Consider the following 23,021-nt stretch of genomic DNA (forward strand, 5'->3'; position numbering starts at 1 on the left):
TTAAAATTTACCGTACTTGCCATATATAGGCTGAGTATCCCTTATTGAAATACCTGGAACCAGAAGTGTTTCCGATTTGGGAGTTGTTTTTTTTTTTAGAATATTGCCGACTGAGCATCCCTAATCTGAAAATCCAAAATCTGAAATGCTCCAATGAGCATTTCCTTTGTGCAAGACCTTTGAATGTCATGTCAGTGCTCAAAAATTTTCAGATTTTAGAGAAGTTTACATTTCAGATTTCCAACATTAGGATGTTCAACTTGTGCGTTTTATGCTCTTACCTGTATTAACTCATTTAGTTTTCAACCCACCCTATCAGGTAGGTCCTATAACTATGTCTGTTTTATAAATGAAGGTACTGATGCACAGAAAAGTTAAGTAACTTGCTTAACAGCTAATAAAAGGCAGGACTTAGCAGAAAAATGTGGTTCCAAAATGTACACTTTCAAAAAAAAAGTCAGCTTTGCAATACTAATACACTGTATTTTTATTTATTTATTTATTTTTTTATTTTTTGGAGACAGAGTCTCGCTCTGGCTGGAGTGCAGTGGCACGATCTTGGCTCACTGCAGCCTCTGCCTACTGGGTTAAAGCAATTCTTCTGCCTCAGTCTCCCAATTAGCTAAGACTATAGGCATGTGCCACCACGCCCAGCTAATTTTTGTATTTTTAATAAAGACGGGGTTTCACCATATTGGCCAGGCTGGTCTCAAACTCCTGGCCTTGTGATCCGCCTGCCTCGGCCTCCCAAAGTACTGCGATTTCAGGTGTGAGCCACAACGCCTGGCCAAAATACATTGTATTTTATTATTTTTTTCAAGATCAATTGACTCTAGATTTAGTAATTTAAGCTTTTTCTTGAGAAACTTGTAGATATAAGAAATTTCTGCTTAGTTTCAAGCCACACTGTAAAGCTGTAACAGTTGATTTTATTTTCATCAATGTAAGTCAGATCCACAAAATTTGAAATGTAATTTTCGGAACAGTTAGTCTTAAATTAGTTTTGTACCATATGCTCTATTAGATTTTTTTTTTTTGGAGACAGAGTCTCACTTTTTTTTAAGACAGTCTTGCTCTGTTGCCCAGGCTGGAGTGCAGTGGCGCAACCTCCGCCTCCCGGGTTCAAGTGATTCTCCTGCCTCAGCCTCCCAAGTAGCTGGGATTACAGGCGCCCACCACAACGCTGGGCTAGTGTTTTTATTTTTAGTAGAGATGGGGTTTCACCATGTTGGCCAGGTTGGTCTCGAACTCCTAACCTCAAGAGATCCGCCCACCTCAGCCTCCCAAAGTGCTGGGATTACAGGCATGAGCTACCACACCTGGCCCCTCACTTTTTTTTTTTTTTTTTTTTTTTTTTGGAGACAAAGTCTCACTTTGTCAATCAGGCTGGACTGCGATCTAGGCTCACTGCAGGCTCAGGCGATCCTCCCTCCTCAGTTCCCCAAGTAGCTGCGACTACAGGTGCATGCCACCATTCCCTGCTAAGTTTTGTATTTTTTGTAGAGACAGGGTTTTTCCACCTTGCTGAGGCTCGTTTTTGACTCCTGGGCTCAATCAATTTGCTTGCACTGGCCTCCCAAAGTGCAAGGATTACAGGCATAAGCCAGCACACCTGGCTTTCATTAGAATTTTAATCTGACATAATTTAGGTTATTCCATAACTATTTCTTTCTCTTCACACAATGGAATGATCTGTGTATTTATGAATTATACATACATAGACATCACAAGAAGACCTTTCTAAGCAAGATTTTCATATTTCACACAGAAATTGGCCACTTCCTATTCTGATACTTATATTAACTCATGAAGCTTTAAACTACATGACCAGTCAAAGATGAAGTGTAAACAGAAACCTTTCCTCTCTTGTACATCAACTAAATCCAAGTAGTACCTTGCTTAATTTCTACTTCTATGTCTTGCTCAATTTCTATCTTTTTCATGAAGCTCCCACAAGCCCACAGATATTTTCTTTTCTTTCAATTGCTTCAACATATACTATCTATGGCACTCATTCTGACAACTGATTAAGAACACAGACTGTAAGCTGTACTTTTCCATTTCTCTCCCAATTCTTGCATAATGTGGGATACATGGCTTACTGAAATACTTTTGGTTGAAATAATTTCTCCTTCACTACTATAACATTAACTTTGGTATTCAAATATTTATTAAGTGCCTGCCATATGTCAGGCACTGGTCTAGGCTTTACGGATACAGCAAGAACAAAACCAAGTCCTTGCACTCATGAAGCTTACATTCTAGAGGGAGGAGACAAATAATAACTAAAAAATAAATTTATAATTCCAGATAGTGATCAACATCCAGAAAATATAAAGCAAGGTAACGATATTAAAAGAGGAAATGAAGAAGCAGAGACTTTTTTTTTTTTTAAAGAAATGGGGGTCTCACTATGTTGACAAGGCTGGTTTTGAACTCCTGGCCAAAGCAATCCTCCTACCTGAGCCTCTTGAGTAGCTGGAACTATAGGTGAGCACCACTGGGCCTGGCTAGGGACTACTATTTTAAATAGGATGATCTAAGAATGGCCTTTCTAAAGAACATTTGGAGTGAGATAAGTAATTAAGCCAATTAGGTGTTTAGAGGAGGAACATCCAGGCAGAGGAAATGGTAAGCACAAAAGCCCACTGAGAAGGGAATGCTCTTGACATGTTTAAGAGAAGTGAGGACAGTAAGGTGGCCAGGGACCAAATCATAAAAGGCCTTCCAAGCCATGGGAAGGACTTTGGATCTTTTCTAAGTACGATGAGACAACCCAAGAAGGAAATATTGTGTTTATGCTCTATGGGGGGCGGGGGTAGTTTTAATAATATGAAACTGTGAAATGCAAATAATGACTTACTGTGAATTATCTTCATTGTTTATTCTTTTCAGCTCACGTATGTGAAGATTTCTGACTCTTTCCAAACGTTCAAGTTCTGCCTGGATTTCTGCCTCTTCCTGAAAATGAAGAGAGGGGACTATAACAAGCTCAATTTATTTGCGATATAAAAAAGATATTTTTACCCATGCATCAATGTTTTACAGTGATGGGAAGAATAGTATATTATAAAGTACCACCGAGTTAAAAGACCAAAGTGCTCTTTTCAATGCCGAAAAGATGGAAAGAGATAAGGCAAAAACCTATTTGAAGAAACCATCCTCCACATGAAAATCTATACCTAATGAGATGCTGGGTTTTATTCTGTACTACAAGAAATCTATTTTTATAATGTATATACTGAAAGGTAGTTGAAAACTGACATAACATAAAATGAGCCATTTCTAGTCCATGCAAATTTTAATTTAAGAAGGAATAATTTACTAGTAGAAAACAAATAAAATGAAAATATTTTATAATAGTTAAAAGAGGAAGAAAGAAAAAAGCAGAATGATTCTTCCTACGCCTTACAGCATTTGGAGTACAAACACACACACACACACACACACACACACACACACACACACACACACAAACTGACCACTCACTTGCAATCCTAAAGATACATTACAACAAAAAATTTATAGATTGCTGTAGTAGACTCTAAGGTATCAGAGCAGATGTAAATAAATCTTAAAGAAATTTAATAATCAATATAAATATTTTGATAAATACATTTTTGTCTTAAAATATACAACTTTTAGACTAGCCACCAAAACAAGTACACATATCACTCATGTCATTCATGTCATTCATTCATACACACACACATATACACACACACACACACACACACACACACACCCACCCCTTTTTTGTCAATACAAATTTGAATACTACTTAAAAAATGGATAAGACTAGGGCTGGGTGCAGTGGCTCACACCTGTAATCCCAGCACTTTGGACTTTGGGAGGCTGTGGCGGGCGGATCACCTGAGGTCGGGAGTTCGAGACCAGCCTGACCAACATGGAGAAACCCCGTCTCTACTAAAAATACAAAATTAGCCAGGCGTGGTGGCGCATGCCTGTAATCCCAGCTACTTGGGAGGCTGAGGCAGGAGAATTGCCTGAACCTGGGAAGTGGAAGTTGCAGCAAGCTGAGATCGTGCCACTGCACTTCAGCCTGGGCAACAAGAGGGAAACTCCATCCCCACTCTCCAGCCCACCGCCACCCGCCGTCAATAAAAAAAAAGGATAAGCCTGTGCCAGGTTTCAGTGAAAGTTTCTAGCCCAATTTCTTTTTTCACTCTGTCACTCAGGCTGGAGCGCAGTGGCATGATCACAGTTCACTGCAGCCTCGACCCCGCAAGCTCAAGCAATCCTCCTGCCTCAGCCTTCCCAGTAACTAGGACTACAGGCATGCGCCACCACACCTGGCTATTTTTTTGTAGAGATGGGGTCTCACTGTGTTGCCCAGGCTAGTCCTGAACTCCCGAGCTCAACGGATCCTCCTGCTTCAGCCTCTCAAAGTGTTGGGATTATAGGTGTGAGCCACCATGCCCGGCTTAGAATATTTTTAGTACGTAATTTTGAAGTAAAGAAATACAGATCACCTTGGCCTAATGTGTACCCACTAGAATTATAAATCTAGACCACGTGGAACAGAAGTTTTTTCTGAATAATGCATTTAAATATTTCATCAGCTCCTTTGCTTCTTTTTAGTAATTTATCTTTTGATATAAAAAATTATTTACCTCAAAATATAACTCTGAAATTTACTTTGAAAATATAAATATTATCATTTCATTCAAAGACAGAAAACAGAGGTATAAAGCTTATCACACCGGTACCTAAGACAGAAATTCAGAGGAATATTTTAAGCATTATGAGAAAAAACAAATTATATCTCTAAAGATTATGTTGTTTGTACTTCACATTACTCCTAAGGTTATTATTTTAAAATGAAATTCAACCACGACTTGTTGCAGAGATATTTAATGCAGATTTGATATTACATGGCAAATAGAAAATTTCAAAATAAATTCAAATGAAGATAAATCTTTCTACAAGTATTGGGAGATTTTCTACAATAGGTACACTACATAGATTCTCTTAATTTAACTGAAATTTCCTCATTAACAGCTTCGGTCACATATATTTTTAATTTTAATTTTAAAAAGTAAAGTGATATCCTAGGAGATTCAATAATCAAAGTTTCATAAAAACAGGAAGTAAATTTTAAAGCTTTGAGACAAAAAACTCAAAACATAGCTTAGTTATCATAGTTAGCCATGTAAAACAGATAAGAAACTTGCCTACAGGTTTACCCAGGAGTATGAAAGAATTTAAATTAATTTACACTAGAAATGTAGAATCTAGATTCAATTCTAATCTAGACTAGAATCTAGAAAGCAATGACTCTTTCCCTTCATGTTACTAATGTTTGCTGCTTAAAAACTTAATTTGACTGTCACATGTGTAGGAAGCTACTCAACATTTGGTGGGCTGGTGCAAGTTTAAATAATCTGATAAAATTGTGAAAAGCCTATTAGAATAAATACTTGTTTTAACTTTTATTTGAAATTGTGGCATGGGGAGACTATTTCAACAGTGAATTTATAAAAGCTAATTTTTACTGAGTCATAAATAAGTAAGATTCAAATAGGTTGTTGATGAACATAATTACATTTGTTTTATAATCTTCAGATGTCTATACAATGGTAGTAATCAATATTACAAAATAAATACTTGTTAAAGAAAGTAAAATATGTATCAGCAAATTAAAGCAAGCTTTTTTTATTTTGCCTCTAAAAACATGACAAATATGTCCCATAAAAATCTTACAAAATCAAAGCACAAGCAAGTTTCATTCCATTTGAATTGTTAAGTTTACTGGAAGAACAACAAAATGTCAGTAGCACTAGAGAAAAAAAGATGGATTCTGGGTATTTAGAAGGAAATGTCAAGGGAAGAAACTATGTCTTAAATAGATAGATATAAACCCACCATACTCAGTGAAATATATTTGTCTTTCATCTTGTAAGTTAGTATTTCACAGTATCTTGGACTTCAAGCAAACTGACACACTTCTGGGGGAAAGGTAACTCTGCTACGCTAAAAATTCCACTAAGAAAAAGTACATATATTGTGATGGGCTGAATGTCTGTGTTCCCTCAAAATTCATATATTGAAGCCCTTATTCCCTAATATGGCTGCATTTGAAGATGAGGCCTTTGGGAGGTACTTAGGGTTGGATTAGGTTATGGAGCCTTCATGATGGGATTAGTGGCCTTATGAGAAGAAAGGTTCCCCCACCCCTCCCTCCAAGGAGCACAGAGAAAAGGCCATGTTAGGATAAAGTGAGAGGGTGGCTATCTGCAAGCCAGCAAGAGAGCCCTTACCCAAAACTAAACTCTGCCTGATCTTGTCATGGACTTCTAGAATACATTTCTGTTGTTTAGGTGCCCAGTCTGATATTTTGTTATGGCCAACACACATACTTGTAGATAAATGCTAGGGCAATACTGTCTAGCACCTTGTCCTCAGAGAATGGGGCAAGGCCCAGTTTTGGTTTGGCCCAGGGTACAATAGTTTGAACAACTTATCTTTGCTACAGATCATTTCCAAAGATCTATCCAGTAGGCTACATTCTCCTTGCCTGAGACTGACATTAACCTGTGGGCCATCCTCAGAAATAATCTTTTTCCAAGGGTTCAGGAGAAGACAGGATTAACTAGGCTCACAATTGATCTGAATTCACCACAGAATAGAATCCTCAAACTCATAGCAAAACTAGGCCAGACGAGTAGACTGAAAGGAGACAATCCAATCAGCTAAGTTGTGCTTAGTAAGAACACCAAGTTTCAGTCCTGAATTCATACACTAGCTGAGCAGTTAATGAAAGCAGAGAAAATCTAAAAGAAACAAAGAGACAAACAGCATCTCCAGAAATGAACTGGTCTCTGTAGGCTATTACAATGAAGAAGAGACATAAGTAAGAACAGACTGTATTAAAGAGAGAGGTAAGTTTGGCAATTAAATACACAATAAAAGGACATGGCTCTTTTCTGTTCAAACAAAAACTACAATGGAAAATTTAACAATACACACTATAGCTATTTTAACAGTATTTTAAAATAAAATCTAATACTCACATAAAAAGCCAAGTCAGACAGGTATACAACAGATCTCAACACTGTCTCATTGTTTAAGTAACTTGCAAAAAACACCACCTTCTAACAGTTAAAATTAAAAAAAAAAAATGTGTATGGATAACTCCCACAGCAACTTCACTAAAAGACTTTGTCCCTCACCAGATCTTCAGCATAGAAATGCTTTCTATTTGTAATCAAAGTCTCTTATGGCAACATAATATTCCTTTGGCTCAAGTCTATAAGCCAAATGTAGGCTGTAGCAATGTAGAATTTCTGTAAAATTCCAGGTTAAAAATGATAGGTGGTTCCCATGTGAAGGAGATGTTTTTTAAAAAGAAAAGAAAATGGTAGGTGAATCTGGAGTATTTTGGAGCATTTCTCATAATGGCATTTTTTTCAAAAGGCAATTATTAAAAGGTGAAATATGGTAGGCATTAAAACTATAAGGCTTAAAAAGTTATAAAATACATTTTTATATGTAAAACCAATACATTTCCTGAAAAAATTAAACTTGCTAGTTTAAAGTTATTTAGCAAATCCTGAATATATGTTACATATTCTCTCTATCAAAAAACTCAATTTCTAAGAACTGCCTCGCATAAAGCCAAGATAAAACAGGAAGTATTTTGATGTATTATTCTCAGCGTGCCTATAACCTATGGGAGTTGGTAGAAGAATATGGCTTGGAACAGTCTATTCACCGTAACAACACTACTTGATTAAGAAAACCGGTTCAGAATGAGGTTTTAACACCAGCCAGGTGAGGTGGCTCACACTTATAATCCCAGCACTTTGGGAAGCCAAGGCCGGTGGATCACCTGAGGTCAGGAGTTCGAGACCAGCCTGGCCAACATGGCAAAATCCTTTATCTACTAAAAATACAAAGATAAGCCAGACGTGGTGGTGCTCGCCTATAACCCCAGCTACTCGGGAGGATGAGGCACGAGAATCACTTGAACCCAGGAAACTGAGGTTGCAGCGAGCCAAGATCACACTACTGCACTCTAGCCAGCCTGGGTGACAGAGTAAGACTCCGTCTCAGAAAAAAAAAAAAAAAATTTAACACCAAATTCACTTTAGTAATGTGAATAATATCAATCCCTTAAAAGTTAACATCTCTAAGTCCTAAAAAAATTAAATTTTAATTTCACAAACGATTTATAATGCCATTCTGAAAGTTTACCACCAAGAAAGGGAAAGGTGAAATCAACAAAAGGCACTATTAAAATCTAATTAAGGGCCAGGTGCGGTGGCTCATGCCTATAATCCCAGCACTTCAGGAGGCTGAGGTGGGTGGATCATGAGGTCAGGAGTTTGAGACCAGCCTGGCCAACACAGTGAAACCCCGTCTCTACTAAAAATATATAAATTAGCCGGGCATGGTGGCAGGAGCCTGTAGTCCCAGCTACTTGAGAGGCTGAGGCAGGTGAATCGCTTGAACCCAGGAGTCGGAGGTTGCAGTGGGCCCAGATTGCACCACTGCACTCCAGCCTTGGTGACACAGCGAGACTGTCTAAAAAAAAAAAGAAAAAAAGAAAAAAAAAGCTAATTAAAAGGAAGGGCAGTGCAAAAAAACAATTAAGGAGAAAATTACTAATTTATTTCGAATTTATCCTTATTATGTCACCATATTATATGCTTTCCCATATTCTAAATATGAATGTGTGAGATATGAACCAACCAAAATAAAAGCCAGCCAACCAACCAACCAACCAACCAACCAAAATAACCACCTAGACAAAGCAGGTCTGACTTTTGAAACTATTGCACCATAATCATATTTTTGCTTGAGAATAATTGTGTAGATTGGGGAGAAGGGTAGGAGAAGGAGAAAAGATAAAAATCATTAAATATTGGGGGCTTTCTTTCCTAATTATATAAATGTTCCCTCCACCCCTATCCCCAATTACTAAAGTGGCTTATTACTGATGAGAGCATACTGTATCACCTCAGGTGTGTTCAACTAGCTTAGATAATTAACTTAGTACCTTTACTCAATGTTTTGCTCTCTACACACTTCATTTCCTGTTTTTCTGGGGGTGTGTGGAGGGGTAATGGTTTACTCTCCCTTCAAATGCATAAATACATGCATTAATACCCGTAACTTGGAATGACTGTTAAAACAGGCAGGTTTTAATTCTGTCAGTTCCTCTACTTTATTATAACAAAACAAAACAAAAACTACCTCCCCAGCATCAAATAAATGTTTAAGAATTCAACTGATTGGCAAAATTTAAATATCTGGCACACTTGTCTTAAAAATATTTACAGCTGCTGTATTATAGGAGTGAAATTAACGTTCAACACTAACCAAGGGGCTGACACCAAGCCTGATCACACACAGGTGCAATGCCTTCGTGTAGTGTACTGCAGTCCTTCTCCCAGTTTTCTTTCCTGCTTTCCCGCCCCGACTTTTTTTTTTTTTTTTTTTTTTTTTTTTTTTTTTTTTGGTAGAGACAAGATTTCCAACTCCTGGGCTGAAGCAATCCTCTGGCCTCTGCCTCCCAAAGTGCTGGGATTACAGGCATGAGTCACCATGCCTGGCCTCTGCTTCCTTTTAAACCTAGTCTTCTACATGCTCATTATGCATATGGCATGGATTTACAGTTATGATTGGGAAGGGCTGGTAGCCAAGCAACTGTTTTCTCTTTTTTGTGAAAGTTATCTCTGAACTGAATTTACAAATCTGAATTAGTTACAAACCCTGCTGATGGCTAACATGACTTCTAAGATTCTTCCCAAAATGTTTTAAATTCCATTGCCTGTATAACAACAGGATTAATATTAAACACTGTGGATCAGGCACGGTGGCTCACGCCTGTAATCCCAGCACTTTGGGAGGCTGAGGTGGGTGGATCACAAGGTCAGGAGTTCGACACCAGCCTGACCAACATGGTGAAACCCCGTTTCTACTAAAAAATATATATAAAAATTAGCCAGGCATGGTGGCACATGCCTGTAATCCCAGCTACTCAGGAGGCTGAGGCAGGAGAATCGATTGAACCTGGGAAGCGGAGGCTGCAGTGAGCCGGGATCATGCCACCACACTCCAGCCTGGGCGAAAAACACACACACACACACACACACACACACACACACACACACTGGGGAAGTAAAACACCTTTTACCTCTACATTTTCATTTTGGTAGCTGAACATTATCTACTACCAAGTTAAGGTTGTGTGATTATAAATATGGAAAAATAGAGCCAGGATAGTTTGCAGGTCCATATGTGAGTAAGAGATAAGAACGTAAACACTGAGTTTTCCCATCTACAGCTAGTTCCATGTTCTCTCACCACAGTCATCTTTTTGGGACAACTACTCATTTTTAAATGGAAAATAGTAGTAAGCACAAATTGTAAAGTTAGAATTCCAGCACTCTTCTTGGCACCTTTCTTGCACATACACACACACACACCTCCCTCCAAGAAATCAGGAATCTTTTAACATTCTTCATGGGCTTAATCACGACTTTTTCCAGTATAGTATACTTTTCCCAGAATTCCACTGAAAACTACTGCCTACACAAGCAGCATCTTGTGTCAGGTTCTACAGAAACATCATGTACAATGTAGTTGGCTTTAATTGAGAGAATTCCTAGAAGATTTCTTCCAGTCATGGCTATAAATATAAAGATGAACAACAGGTTTAAAGATTAAGCCCTCTAGCATTATAATGCTCATTATTTTCATATTTTCATTCAAACCTAAAGTGACAAAAAATGTCACATATGCAAACTTATTCTTTGTGGTCATACTAAGGGTTTGATAAGTCAGATGACAATGGTGTTCTAGAAAAAAAGACCAAAGGGGACATCAAACTTCAAGAATATTTGGGGGTCAATTCACCTAAAGCCAACGCCCTGCATTCTCCACTGTTCAAAAGGCTTGTAGACAATCCATTGTCTTCCATTTCAACTAGTTGCATGGTCCACTGTGAAGGAGTGAGAAAAGAGCTGTGTACTTGTTCTTGACCTGTAAAGATTTCATCATGGAAGATTAATACTGATGCTGCTGCTGCCTGTTACTGGTTGTTTCTCTTTGCAGGTGCCAATATCGGTCAGAGAACAGGATTTCAGTGGCAGAGTTGTTGCTATACTGTTATCTCTTCAGAACGGAGGCACAAGGAGAGATGAATGCCACATCGCAAGGAGCAAAGGAGAGAGAGAGAAAGAAATGGTGTCAGGTGGCATGTTGGATGTGATTTTTGTTTTAGTAGAGATTGAGATGACTGTAAATTGTTTAGCTGATTCCTTCGGTCTGCAAAGATACATTTGTGTTGGTGCTGATGGTTCTTGACTAATCCTGTTTCAATTACAAATTGGTTATGTTTTTCAAATAAAACTTCTGGCACTTATATTCAGGGCTCATAAGTCAAATGCACTCACACATACACACACACACACACACACACACCAAAACACACACATTAAAGCCAATCCCTACTACACTATTTAATACTCCATACTGAGATGTCACACTTTCTAAACACATTCTCTCCAACTAATCAAATATTTAAAATCAAGAAGACAAAAAAATCTGAAGACAAGAAAATAAAGAGTAACATACCCACATGCTGTTCATATCACAAATTTGAGTAACAGCAGTCTCAAGACATAGTTACTGGACCTAATAACTTTCAAAATTCTCATTTACTCATCAGTTTGGGGTATTATGACTAATAACTTGTATCTTTTTAAAAATATAGACATTTCAAGGAAGTTGATTTTGCAGGGATTGTATTTTTAGTTTTATGTGTTAATTTAGTGACAATCCTTGAAAGCAAATCCACACCATCTTCTTCAACTCCAGAATAAAGATCTGACTATATAATCAACCTAGCAGAGCTTCTGAATCACAAAGATAAATTGTTTTCCCATAATTAGAACTTATCAGAGACAGGTATCAAAACCTGATCAACTATAAGAGCAAACTGGTTTTTGGTTGGTTTCCTTGAACCCACGATTCCACATGGGCACAGGTAGATAAAATAGGATCATTTAGAAGCTTTGCCTCAAATTAACAACTTTTTAAAGATAGGAAATTAATCTCTTTACAACTACAAGCTTTTATTAAGTAATAACTGGGGAAGTTTGTATATAATTAATGATAACCAAAAAAGTTACTTGTTCCTTTTGAAATAGTTTCAGGAATAATTTGTATAGTCTCCATACATTTTACTATATAGTTCTATTCTAAGAATTCCTTAAGATATATTTTAAAATTATTTGAGTTTTTATTTAAAAATGTGCTTTTTAAAAAGGTCTTTGTTGACCTTTAAAAATAAATCGAGTGAAAATCAATATATTAGTTAATAATAAAGAAATATTGTAGTTGATTCAACAGTCACTAACATAATGCCCAAGGAAGAAAGTATGTGAAAGAGAATGAAAAAGAATGTGTATGAAAAATAATTAACTTAAAACTGTTCTCCTTTATCTGTAATGAAAATGAAATAGCACGTTCATCCCGCCACACACCAAAAGAAAACTTAAGGAAAAGCAAACAGTCCAGTACTTAATAGAGATGCAAGGAAAGCCACAAGTGAATTAATTTTTCTGAATACAAAGAATCAACTTACTATTAATCTACAACAAAATAATTCTAGGAATTAACTACATGGGTACAGTCATTGAAATAGGAGTGGGAATGGTTCAAGTTTTGGCTTTGTCACTTACTGGTGGTATTACTCCAGAGGAAGTATATATAGATCTGGGCTTTCAAAAAGGTGTAATTAATGTTCACTCAAAAATGGTGAAAGCTTCAAAGTCTATAAAAAGTAATATGTAATTCCGTTAAAATGGGAATTTGAATTATGCCTGTGTCAGGCAGAGTATGGCAATAAGTCACTTAATAAATGGGTGAGCAACGACTGCTTAAACTTGGGAACAACTATAACAATAAATATTAGATAAAAGAATTCTTGATACAGTTGAGAGGAAAAAAAGTGACGCTCTGCTGTGATTTTCCTAATCTCAGAAGAGAAAACTAATAAGTCCATAAGTAAGTTTACATTTACTTTTTGGTAGTAACTAGAAACACCTATTTATTTTAGCCATGTATTTACTTTTGGAGGTTTCTGCCTGACTCTCATTCCTTACTCTATCACACATTGGATAATAGAGTAAGGCTATCTTTGGATTTATTATTTTTCTAACCCTGAAGAACAGCATAAAATATGAACTAAACTTCATGATTTATTCAAAGGTAAATATACTTTTTCATATTTTAGTTTAGCTTTTCAATTATAGTGATTATCATTATGAAACACAAAGCATGTCATAAATTATCCACTTCAAGAAAAAGTAAACAGGTCTTTCTATTCTCCTATGTCCATATGCCATGGGCTTCCTCAATGAACTTTGGTCCTTCAGTGCTAAGAAAGTTAGTCTAATAATTAGTTCTGCTTAATGTTAAGAATTTATTGAAGGGAGAAAGGGCAAGAGAGTCACCCATGCTAATGCAAGAGTATGCCAGGCTCCAAATCTAAACCGTAAACTGACTGGTTATATTTCCTGTGCAGGATACAAGGGGCGTCAAATATTCAGATCCAGCCTATGGTAGAAGCTGTATATTTACAAGTCGGGGTTCATGTCTGCTTAATAAACCCAGGAGCATAGGGAGCTGATAAGACAGAAGTGATAACATCTTTTCTTTTGACTCAAGCCTGTCCTGTGTTTTAAAAATCTGTTTAATCTTTTTTAGAAAACAGAATGACCTATTTTCCAACTGTGCTTCAGAATGCCAAATAACTTATTTTTATACATGTAACTTATTGCTTATTATTTTTTAACTGTATAACTCAAAAATTAATACTCGGTTCTAAGCAGGCAACTGCTATTTATGCTCTAAGGTGACATTACTTGCTTAATTTTGTTCCCTGTATGTACTACTGGCCACTTTCTTTATAATACACTCATTCTTCTCACCCAAAATAGTCTCTCAGAAGAAAACATGGGTATTCATGACATGAGAGTATGTTTCAGCATTACTGTTAATCCATTTCCCCAAAATATTCCATGATGAAGGTCAAAGAAAAGAAAAGTTATGTTGTAAATTAGTTAAAAAGAAGATAAAGTTAGAAATCTAAGACTGCTCAGTAAATTTGATAAAAGCTAGGAAAAAAAGCAGGAAAAAGATTATGGAAGGGATAATTATTGGAAAGAGTAAGTAAATACGAAAAATATAGAAGTCAAACACTGGGAAAGAGGAAAATACGAAGGTTAGAAGGTTTAGTGTTCTACAACATTTTACAAATGTCTATATAATATTTGGACACTAAGTATACCTTACTTTATAAAAGTGTTTTTCACAGAAACCAGTATTTTCAAAGTACCAGGAAAGCTTTAAAACCAACCAACCAAAAACAAAAACAAACCCTCCTTTGAAGCCTTTTCAAAGTGTACTTTTTGTAATACAAATAGCCAATTCCTAATTTAACTGCTCTACAATTTCAGATTTTATAACAGATTTTCATAAAATAAGGTGCATATGTAAAATGTCATCATTTAGAAAGAGTAATCTGAAATTTGGTATTACACGTGAAGATAATAACCCTTCAGTAAAACTCTCAAGTACACCTTGGAATCACTATAACTAAGTAAATAAGTATTCCTTTATCACCACAGGCTGGTTAGAAAATAACTGGTAAATCTTTATATGAGACATAAAGCATAGGCCCTTACGAACTCATTATCAAAACAGTTTAAGTGGGCACACAGATACTTACGACTCATCCTGTACTAAAAATTCCCTTTTCGCTTCCATAGTTCCTTTATATGGTTCTATCACTATTATAGAACTATTATGATAGTTATATAGCTCCATCTATTATTATAGAGAATAGACTTAAGTTGTCAACTAAGTCTCAAAGCGCAGGAAAAGTAGTCAATAATTACAATAGAACAGAATAGAACTACTTAAATAACAAAACCAAAATAAATCACTTTTTAATTCACTGTTCAAGTAGTTTACGTTGAAGCTTTCTGGGCAGTTGGCATAGACAGATATAGCATATTAAAGGATACTAATGCAAATTATATATAATAATTTTCTATTCCCTATAAATGGTAGGAATCCCCAGCATATTAATAACATTTCCAAAACAAATTAGTATGCAGTGTAATAGTAGCTGCTACCAGAATGGGTTTCTCCATCCTACCTCACCCTATCCCATGGAGACAACTTCACAGATACTATCTCCAATTAGTTCACTCCTTCAATTTTACCTATAATTCAGCCTATTTAAAAAATTGAAAGAACCTGACAAGCAGAAAGCACAAAAAATTGGGTCAAAGAAAAAGAACTTTATGTCTGTCAGTAACTTAATTTTGAGGGAAAAAAACCTACTCTATTATTACTACTTCTCTGAAATCATTTGAACTAAAATTAAGACCTGTAAAAACAATAAACTGATTACAATTTCAGAGTTTACAAACAAGTAGAAAGATACACATTATTTAAAAGTTTACGACAATAACACATAGCAACATTTTTTCTCAGTTTTATCCCTTTATACTATCACTAAGTGCTTTTTCCTACGTACATCTTCTAATCGAAACATCACACATGCAACAAATTAAAAGATAAGCCAAAGAAATAAGTTTGCTATTTATTTACAATTGCTATTTTATTATGAAATGAACATAAACAATATGGAATTTTAGATTTCATCTTTAAAATGAAGTATTTTTTACCAAAAGGTAGTACTTAAATAGAATAATCTAAAGACCTTGGAAGTCTGTCCAAGAATCATTCCTCCACTAAAGGGATATGGTGTGTCACCATCTCAAGATTTTTAAGTTGACACAAGATAAAGGAATGTTGTTTTAATATACTCAACATAAAAATGTAATTTTGGCCGGGTGCGACAGCTCATGCCTGTAATCCCAGCACCTTGGGAGGCCAAGGTGGGTGGATCACACGAAGCCAGGAGTTTGAGACCAGCCTGGTGAACATGGCGAAACCCTCACTCTACTAAAAATACAAAAATTAGCCAGATGTGGTGGCGCATGCCTGTAATCCCAGCTACTCAGGAGGCTGAAGCACGAAAATTGCTTGAACCAGGGAGGTGGAGGTTGCACTGAGCTTAGATTGTGCCGCTGCACTCCAGCCTGAGTGATGAGACTGTTTCAAAAAATAAAAATACTAATAAATAAAATAAAGTAACTTTAATGCATCTCTTTTTAATCTGAAATTTTTAATTTGAAATCTTACTCTCTTAAATTTTGGCTTTTAAAATAAGTGACTTATAACACAACTTCCCACAAATTCTGGTAGCAAATTGAACTAAAAATGCAGCATATGTTTCACATACCTTTTTGAGATGTCCTAGTCTAAGTTTGAAAATTTCTTCCTGTTCATGATATTCTGCCAAAGTCAACCTGTCAAAAATGAAATTTTAATTCTACATATTGAGATTAATACTTAGTTTATTAACAACTAGCAAAATATAAAAATCAAGTGGAAATACTAAAATGTGGACAACTTTAAGCCCAAAATGTATGAGCCAAAAATCCTTTGAGATATTCTTCAGAATATATTTAATACTTTTAGATGAAACAGTTAACTAATTCTACAATGCTTTAAGGAAAATGTATGAGCCAAAAATCCTTTGAGATATTCTTCAGAATATATTTAATACTTTTAGATGAAACAGTTAACTAATTCTACAATGTTTTAATGAGTACCATTTATCAAGTGATGTTCTAGAATTTATATTCTAAGGATACAGTGAAAAACAAAACAATTTCTCCTTACATATTAGTTTGAGCGTACACTCTATAGTGGAAGTAAGCAAGCATAAAAAAAACCACGTGATGAAATAAATAAGTTTAAGTAACAGTAAGTGTCATGAAGAAGGCAAAAAAGGATGGTATGGTAATGACTAATTGCATTATGTTAATTTGGACTGGGTGTTAGAGAGGTGACCATCTAAATAACAAAAAGACAACCATGAGAGGACTCTGGGGAGTATATTCTAGACATGAGTTATAGAAAGTTCAAAACTCTAAGATGAAAATAGTCTTGGCATATAAATAGAAGAGAAAAAAATGGGAGTAAATCAGATGTAGTCAAAAGGGTTGTGAGTAGTAGGAGAAGCAAGCTGGGGAGACATACTATGTATAGATTTGCAGGCCAAGTCAAGAATTTCAGTTTTACTCTAAGAGTAATGGGAAATCACTGCAAAGGGAGTCAGTCCAGTTTGGGCAGTTTTTAAAAAGAGGAAAAAAACAAAGACATTTTTCCTTTCCCTGCTTCAGTGTGTTGGGAGTAAATAAGCAAGATAAAAAAATGCTAAAACTTTAGTCAAAGTACTAAATTCTGGCCAGGTACAGTGGCTCACGCCTGTAATCCCAGCACTCTGGGAGGCTGAGGCAGGTGGATCACTGGAGCCCAGGAATTCCAGAACAGCCTGGGCAACATAGCAAAACCCCGTCTCAATCTCCCTCACCCCCAAAAAAGCACTAAATTCTTATACTCCAAATATAGACATAGGGTCTTGCTTTAGTGTCCAGGTTGAATTTGAACTCCTGGGCTCAGGTGACTCTCCTGCCTCAGTGTTCCAAGTAGCTGGGAGTACAGGTGTACGCCACCATGCCTAGCTACTTCAAAATCTTAATTATAAATAGATACAGGACTTTAAGTCTTGAAAGTGCTTCATGGTTATCTTATTATTTCAAATATTATTACCTGACTTTGAAAAGTAATCAGTTTAATGTATGCAGAACTACAACAAGGCTTATTAGGGTCTCGCTCTGTTGCCCAGGCTGGAGTGCAGTGGCCACGATCTCAGCTCACTGCACCTCCACCTCCCAAATTCAAGTGATTCTCCTACCTCAGCCTCCAGAGTAGCTGCGACTACAGGCACACGCCACCATGCCTAGCTAAGTTTTGCATTTTTAGTAGAGACGGAGTTTTGCCATGTTGGCCAGGCTGGTCTTGAATGCCTGGCTTCAAGTGATCCACCGACCTCAGCCTCCCAAAGTGCTGGGATTACAAGTGTGAGCCACCACAACCGGCCCATACCCCAACTTTAAAAGAATAGCTCTTATCTATCATATTCAAGCCCTTGTTTGTTAATTTACTTATGTGTTCTGAGGTTATTTCATTAAGCTCCTAACTCAGGTGTGATCTGTTTGGTTTCAGTCCCTCAGCAACATTTAGTATAAATGCCATTTCCCTTTAGCTAGATGCTAATTAAATTAACTAATTCTAAAAAAGGAGTATTCAAAGGAAATAAACAAAAACAAGAAATTCAGTTAGTATTCCACCCGCAACATCTTAAGAGCCAAAAAAATTAACATGTTAAATTAAACTTCTCTACCTAGTCTTAGGGTGACACAACTACTGGATTTTATTACACTGAATATAGCAATAGTTGATAGCTGTAGCAGTTGCTTATAGTAAATTTAGAGAATTAAATGCTGGAGTGTGAATGTAGATGAAGTGAGAGAGGGAGGAGGAGGAATGTGATACTAAAGAAAATGAGGTTTGAAAACTAAAATGTATAATATCTCAACTAATCTAGAAAAGAAAAGATGTAGGAATGTTAGCAAAAAGCTTCTGGATATGGGTACAGGTTTATGCCACTGGTGGAAGTTTGCCTATGATACTGCTATTATATAACAGTATCATAAATTCATATTCTTAAAGTATGGTTTAAGGTCCACTAGTAGGCCATAGTATGGGCTCATAACTAATTTTTAAAAGATATTTAAATTTGTTTTCTTTCTATATAGAAATTCTGTACTTTGATTTTTACTGAATTACAAAACAGCTAAAATTTGGCATATCTTAAACCAAAGTTAGTACATGACTTGAGTTACTTGAAATTTTTGTCCTACCAAGAGGTTTGGCTATCATGTATAACTGCAAAGCTCCTACACATGCACATGGCTAGACTCTGTGCAATTTAGGAGAAACGCTATTTTGTTGTTGTGTGTTGTTAGGCTACTCACTTTTCAGGGCAGTGATTCTTACCATTTTACAATCATAAAAAAAAAAAAAATCTGAAGGAAGTTATAAATACTCTCCCCAGAAAATTTTACATATATATAATTTTGGGATTCACAAATCTCAGTAAGAGTTCCTCTGCCTGGGTCTTGTCTTGCCAATTAGAATGCAAACCCCCAAATGACAAAAGAGCCATTTCTTACATTTTCTCTCCCTCTTCCTACTAGGAAGTATTAGGGATTATTAATACCTGACACATTGTAGCTTCTTCGATAACCTCTGTTGTCCATTTGTATTAATCAAAAACGTTTTTAAAGAAATCTATGTATTTAGATAAAAGCAACTGGGAACAATCTTCTTTAAAGAAACAGGATTTTAGACAGAATGAAAAGAGCTAAGCTAGGATAATGTTCACATCAGTGGCTTTTAATTATCAATACTTTTATGTGTGTAAGATGCTTTTAAAAGAACCTGCCCTCTCAAACAATTCAGTTAAATTACTTAGCAAATCTTTTATTCATAGATAAGGCAAAGATATAATCCATCTCTTCCCATAGACTCATATCTGATGATAGCTAAATTATTAATATTTTTATTACACAAACATAAAAATATTTTATTATGCACACATAACAATGTATTATTTTTATTATGCACACATAATATTTTAAACGTTAACAAATTTAAACCCCAAACATAAGACTTGACTCCTGATAATCTTCCACACTAAGTCTGAGTAAATGAAAATTTTAATTTTAAAAGTGTTCTAAAATAGTTTAACAGAAATATGGGGTGACAGTATTTTAAAAAGTTAGTAGAAATAACAAAAACAGGGATATTCATTTTAAACAAATTTGGTATTCAATGTCTTAAAGACATTCTGTTTAAGCAGAGAATTAACATGAAGCCTCAAAGAACACAAACTATGGTAAATAGACTGTTAGAGGCACTTAAACAAAAATTAGCCAGATGTGGTGGTGCACGCCTGTAGTCCCAGCTACTCAGGAGGCCGAGGCATGAGAATCACTTCAACCTGGGAGGCAGAGGTTGCAGTGAGCTGAGACTGCCACTGTACTCCAGCCTGGGCAACAGAGCAAGAAAAGAAAAGAACAACAACAACAACAACAAAAGGCAACAACAACCCAGGCAAACTAACATCATAGTTAATGGTGAAAATGGAAAGATTTTCTCCTAATACCAGGAAAAAGACAAGGACGTCTACTTTCATGATTGCTAATCAGTATTGCACTGGAAGTCCTACCAGAGCAGTCAGGTAAGGAAAAGAAATAAAATGCATCTAAATTGTAAGCTAAGAAATAAAACTATCTATATTTGCAGATGACATGCCTCTATATTTAGAAAATCCCCAAAAAATGCACAAGAAAAAAAATCACTAGAACAATAAATAAATTTGGCAAAGCTGCAGGGTATGAGAGCAATGCACAAAAATCAGTTACTTCTATACACCAGCAATGAACAACCTGAAAAGGATATTAAGGAAGCTATTACATTTACAATAGCATCCAAAAGAATATAATACCTAGGAATAAATTTAACCCAGGAGGTGAAAGACTTGCCTACTAAAAACTACAAAATATTGCTAAGGAGTTCAAAAAGAGTTAATTAAATGAAAAGATATCCTATGTCCACAGATTGGAGACTTTCAAAAAGTATGGTACTGCCATAAGAATACACATATATACCTATGAAATAGATCTGAATTCAGAAATAAACCCAAAAATCTACGGCCAGTTGATTTTTGACAAGAGTACCAAGACCACTCAATGAGGAAAGAATAATCTCTTCAACAAATGATGCTGGGACAACTAGGGAACCACATGCAAAATAATGAAGTAGGACCCCTACCTCACTCTATGTACAAAAATTAACTAAAAATGAATGAATGACCTAAATATAGTAACTAAAACTATTAGAAGACAATACAGGAGGCTGGGTATGGTGGCTCATGCCTGTAATGCCAGCACTTTCGGAAGCTGAGGCAGGTGGATCACTTGAGGCCAGGAGTTCAAAACCAGCCTGGGCAACATGGTGAAACTCTGTCTACTAAAAATACAAAAATTAGCCAGGCGTGGTGATGGGCACCTGCAATCCCAGATACTTGGGAGGTTGAGAAAGGAGAATCGCTTAAACCTGGGAGGCAGAGGTTGCAGTGAGCTGAGATCGCACCACTGCACTTCAGCCTGGGTGACAGAGCAAGACCCTGTCTCAAAACAAAACAAAACAAAACAAAGGGAAGATAACACAGGGGTAAATCTTCATGACTACAAATTTGGCAATAAATTCTTAGATTTGTCACCAAAAGCATAAACAACAACAGTAACAAAAATCAACAAAATACATTTCATAAAAATTAAAAACATTAAAAATTAAAACAACTGAATTCATGGAGATAGAGAGTAGGATGATGGTTACTAGAGGCTGGGAAGGACAGTGGGGAAGGGGGCAAAAGGTGGGGTTGGTTAATGGGTGCAAAAACATAGAATGAATAAGATCTAGTATTTGGTAACACAAGAGGATGACAACAGTCAACAAAAATATATTGTACATTTAAAATAACCAAGAGTATAATTGGAATGTTTATAACAAAGAAATGATAAATGCTTGAGGTCATGGATACCCCATTTACCCTGATGTGATTATTACACATTGTATGCCTGTATCATAATATATCATGTACCCTGTACATTGGTTGGTGCAAAAGTAATTGCGGTTTTTGCCACTGAAAGTAGGCAAACACCACAATTACTTTTGCACCAACCTAATACTATGTACCCATAAAAATAAAAAACTTCTGTACATCAAAGGATATTATCAAAAAAGTAAAAGACAACTTACAGAATAGCAGAAAATATCTGCAAATCATATATGTTAAGGGTTTAGTATCCAGATTTTTTAAAAAAAAAAAAAAACCTCCCACAACAACAAAACAACAAACAGTCTGGTGAAAAAATGAGCAAAAGACTTGAATAGACATTTCTCCAAACAAGATATATAAAGACCAGCAAACACATTAAAAGATGTTCAACAACATTAAGTCATTAGGGAAATGCAAATCAAAATTACCGTGAGATATCACTTTACACCCACTAGGATGGTTATGATTTTTAAAATGGCAAAGTAAAAAGTATTGTCAAGGATGTAGAAAAATAGGGATAATTGTCATGCTGATGGGAATGTAAAACGGTGCAGAATGGAAAATAAGCAGTTCTTGAACAAGTTAAGATACAGAATTACCATAATACTCAGTACTAGACAGATAAAGAAAACAAAACAAGCTCACACAGAATTGTAGACAGGTGTTTATAGCAGAACTATTTATAATAACCAAAGGGTGGAAACAACCTAAATGTCCATCAATGAATGAATGAACAAATTGTGCATAATCACACAATGAAATATTGTTCAGCCATAAAAAGAATGAAGTACTGATACATGCTACAACATGAATATATTTTGAAAACTTATACTAAGTAAAAGCCAGACACAAAAGGTCATATAAGGTATGAGTCATTTTATATACAACATTCAGAAGAAGCAAATACACAGAGAAAGAAAACCGATTATTTGCTACTGGAGGTGAGAAGAGAAAGGGCTAGGGAGTGATTACTTAACGTGCACAGTGTTCCTCTGGGTTAAGGAAACAGTTTTGAAACTAGAGAGAAGTGATGGTACATAACACTGTGAATGGACTAAAAGCCACTGAACTGTACATCTTTAAATGGTTATTCGTATGTTACATAAATTTAACCTCAATTAAAAAATGTTATCACTAGGAAAAAAAATAGGTGATTGTGGGAGGGATGAAACTAGTCTTCCTTTGAAGAGTCCAAACGTTCACAATGTAATAGAAATTGAAGTGCAATTACTTATACTTAGTATAAGTATAATGGCTGATATGGTTTGGCTGTGTCCCCACCCAAATCTCATCTTGAATTCCCACGTGTTGTGGGAGGGACCTGGTGGGAGGTAACTGAATCATGGGGGCAGGTCTTTCCCATGCTGTTCTCATG

The 23,021-nt window shown here is 35.9% G+C and overlaps 1 protein-coding gene across 6 annotated transcripts in view; it reads right to left on the reverse strand.

Annotated features, from left to right (window-relative positions):
• TLK1 (tousled like kinase 1) overlaps positions 1-23,021 on the reverse strand; it is a 240,471-nt gene that overhangs the window by 21,165 nt on the left and 196,285 nt on the right. For 5 of the 6 annotated variants that reach the window (NM_001136554.2, XM_017005422.3, XM_011512238.4 and 2 more), the window contains 2 exons: positions 16,352-16,418; positions 2,864-2,961 (listed from right to left, as the gene is read on the reverse strand). In NM_001136554.2, coding sequence (NP_001130026.1) covers positions 2,864-2,961; positions 16,352-16,418 — 165 coding nt within the window. Of the gene's footprint in view, positions 1-2,863; positions 2,962-10,884; positions 11,143-16,351; positions 16,419-23,021 lie in introns of those variants that run through there. The other variant, XM_047446530.1, reaches the window with a different exon arrangement.

Source organism: Homo sapiens, chromosome 2, assembly GCF_000001405.40.
Source record: "Homo sapiens chromosome 2, GRCh38.p14 Primary Assembly".
In the NCBI taxonomy this organism is placed as follows: domain Eukaryota; kingdom Metazoa; phylum Chordata; class Mammalia; order Primates; family Hominidae; genus Homo; species Homo sapiens.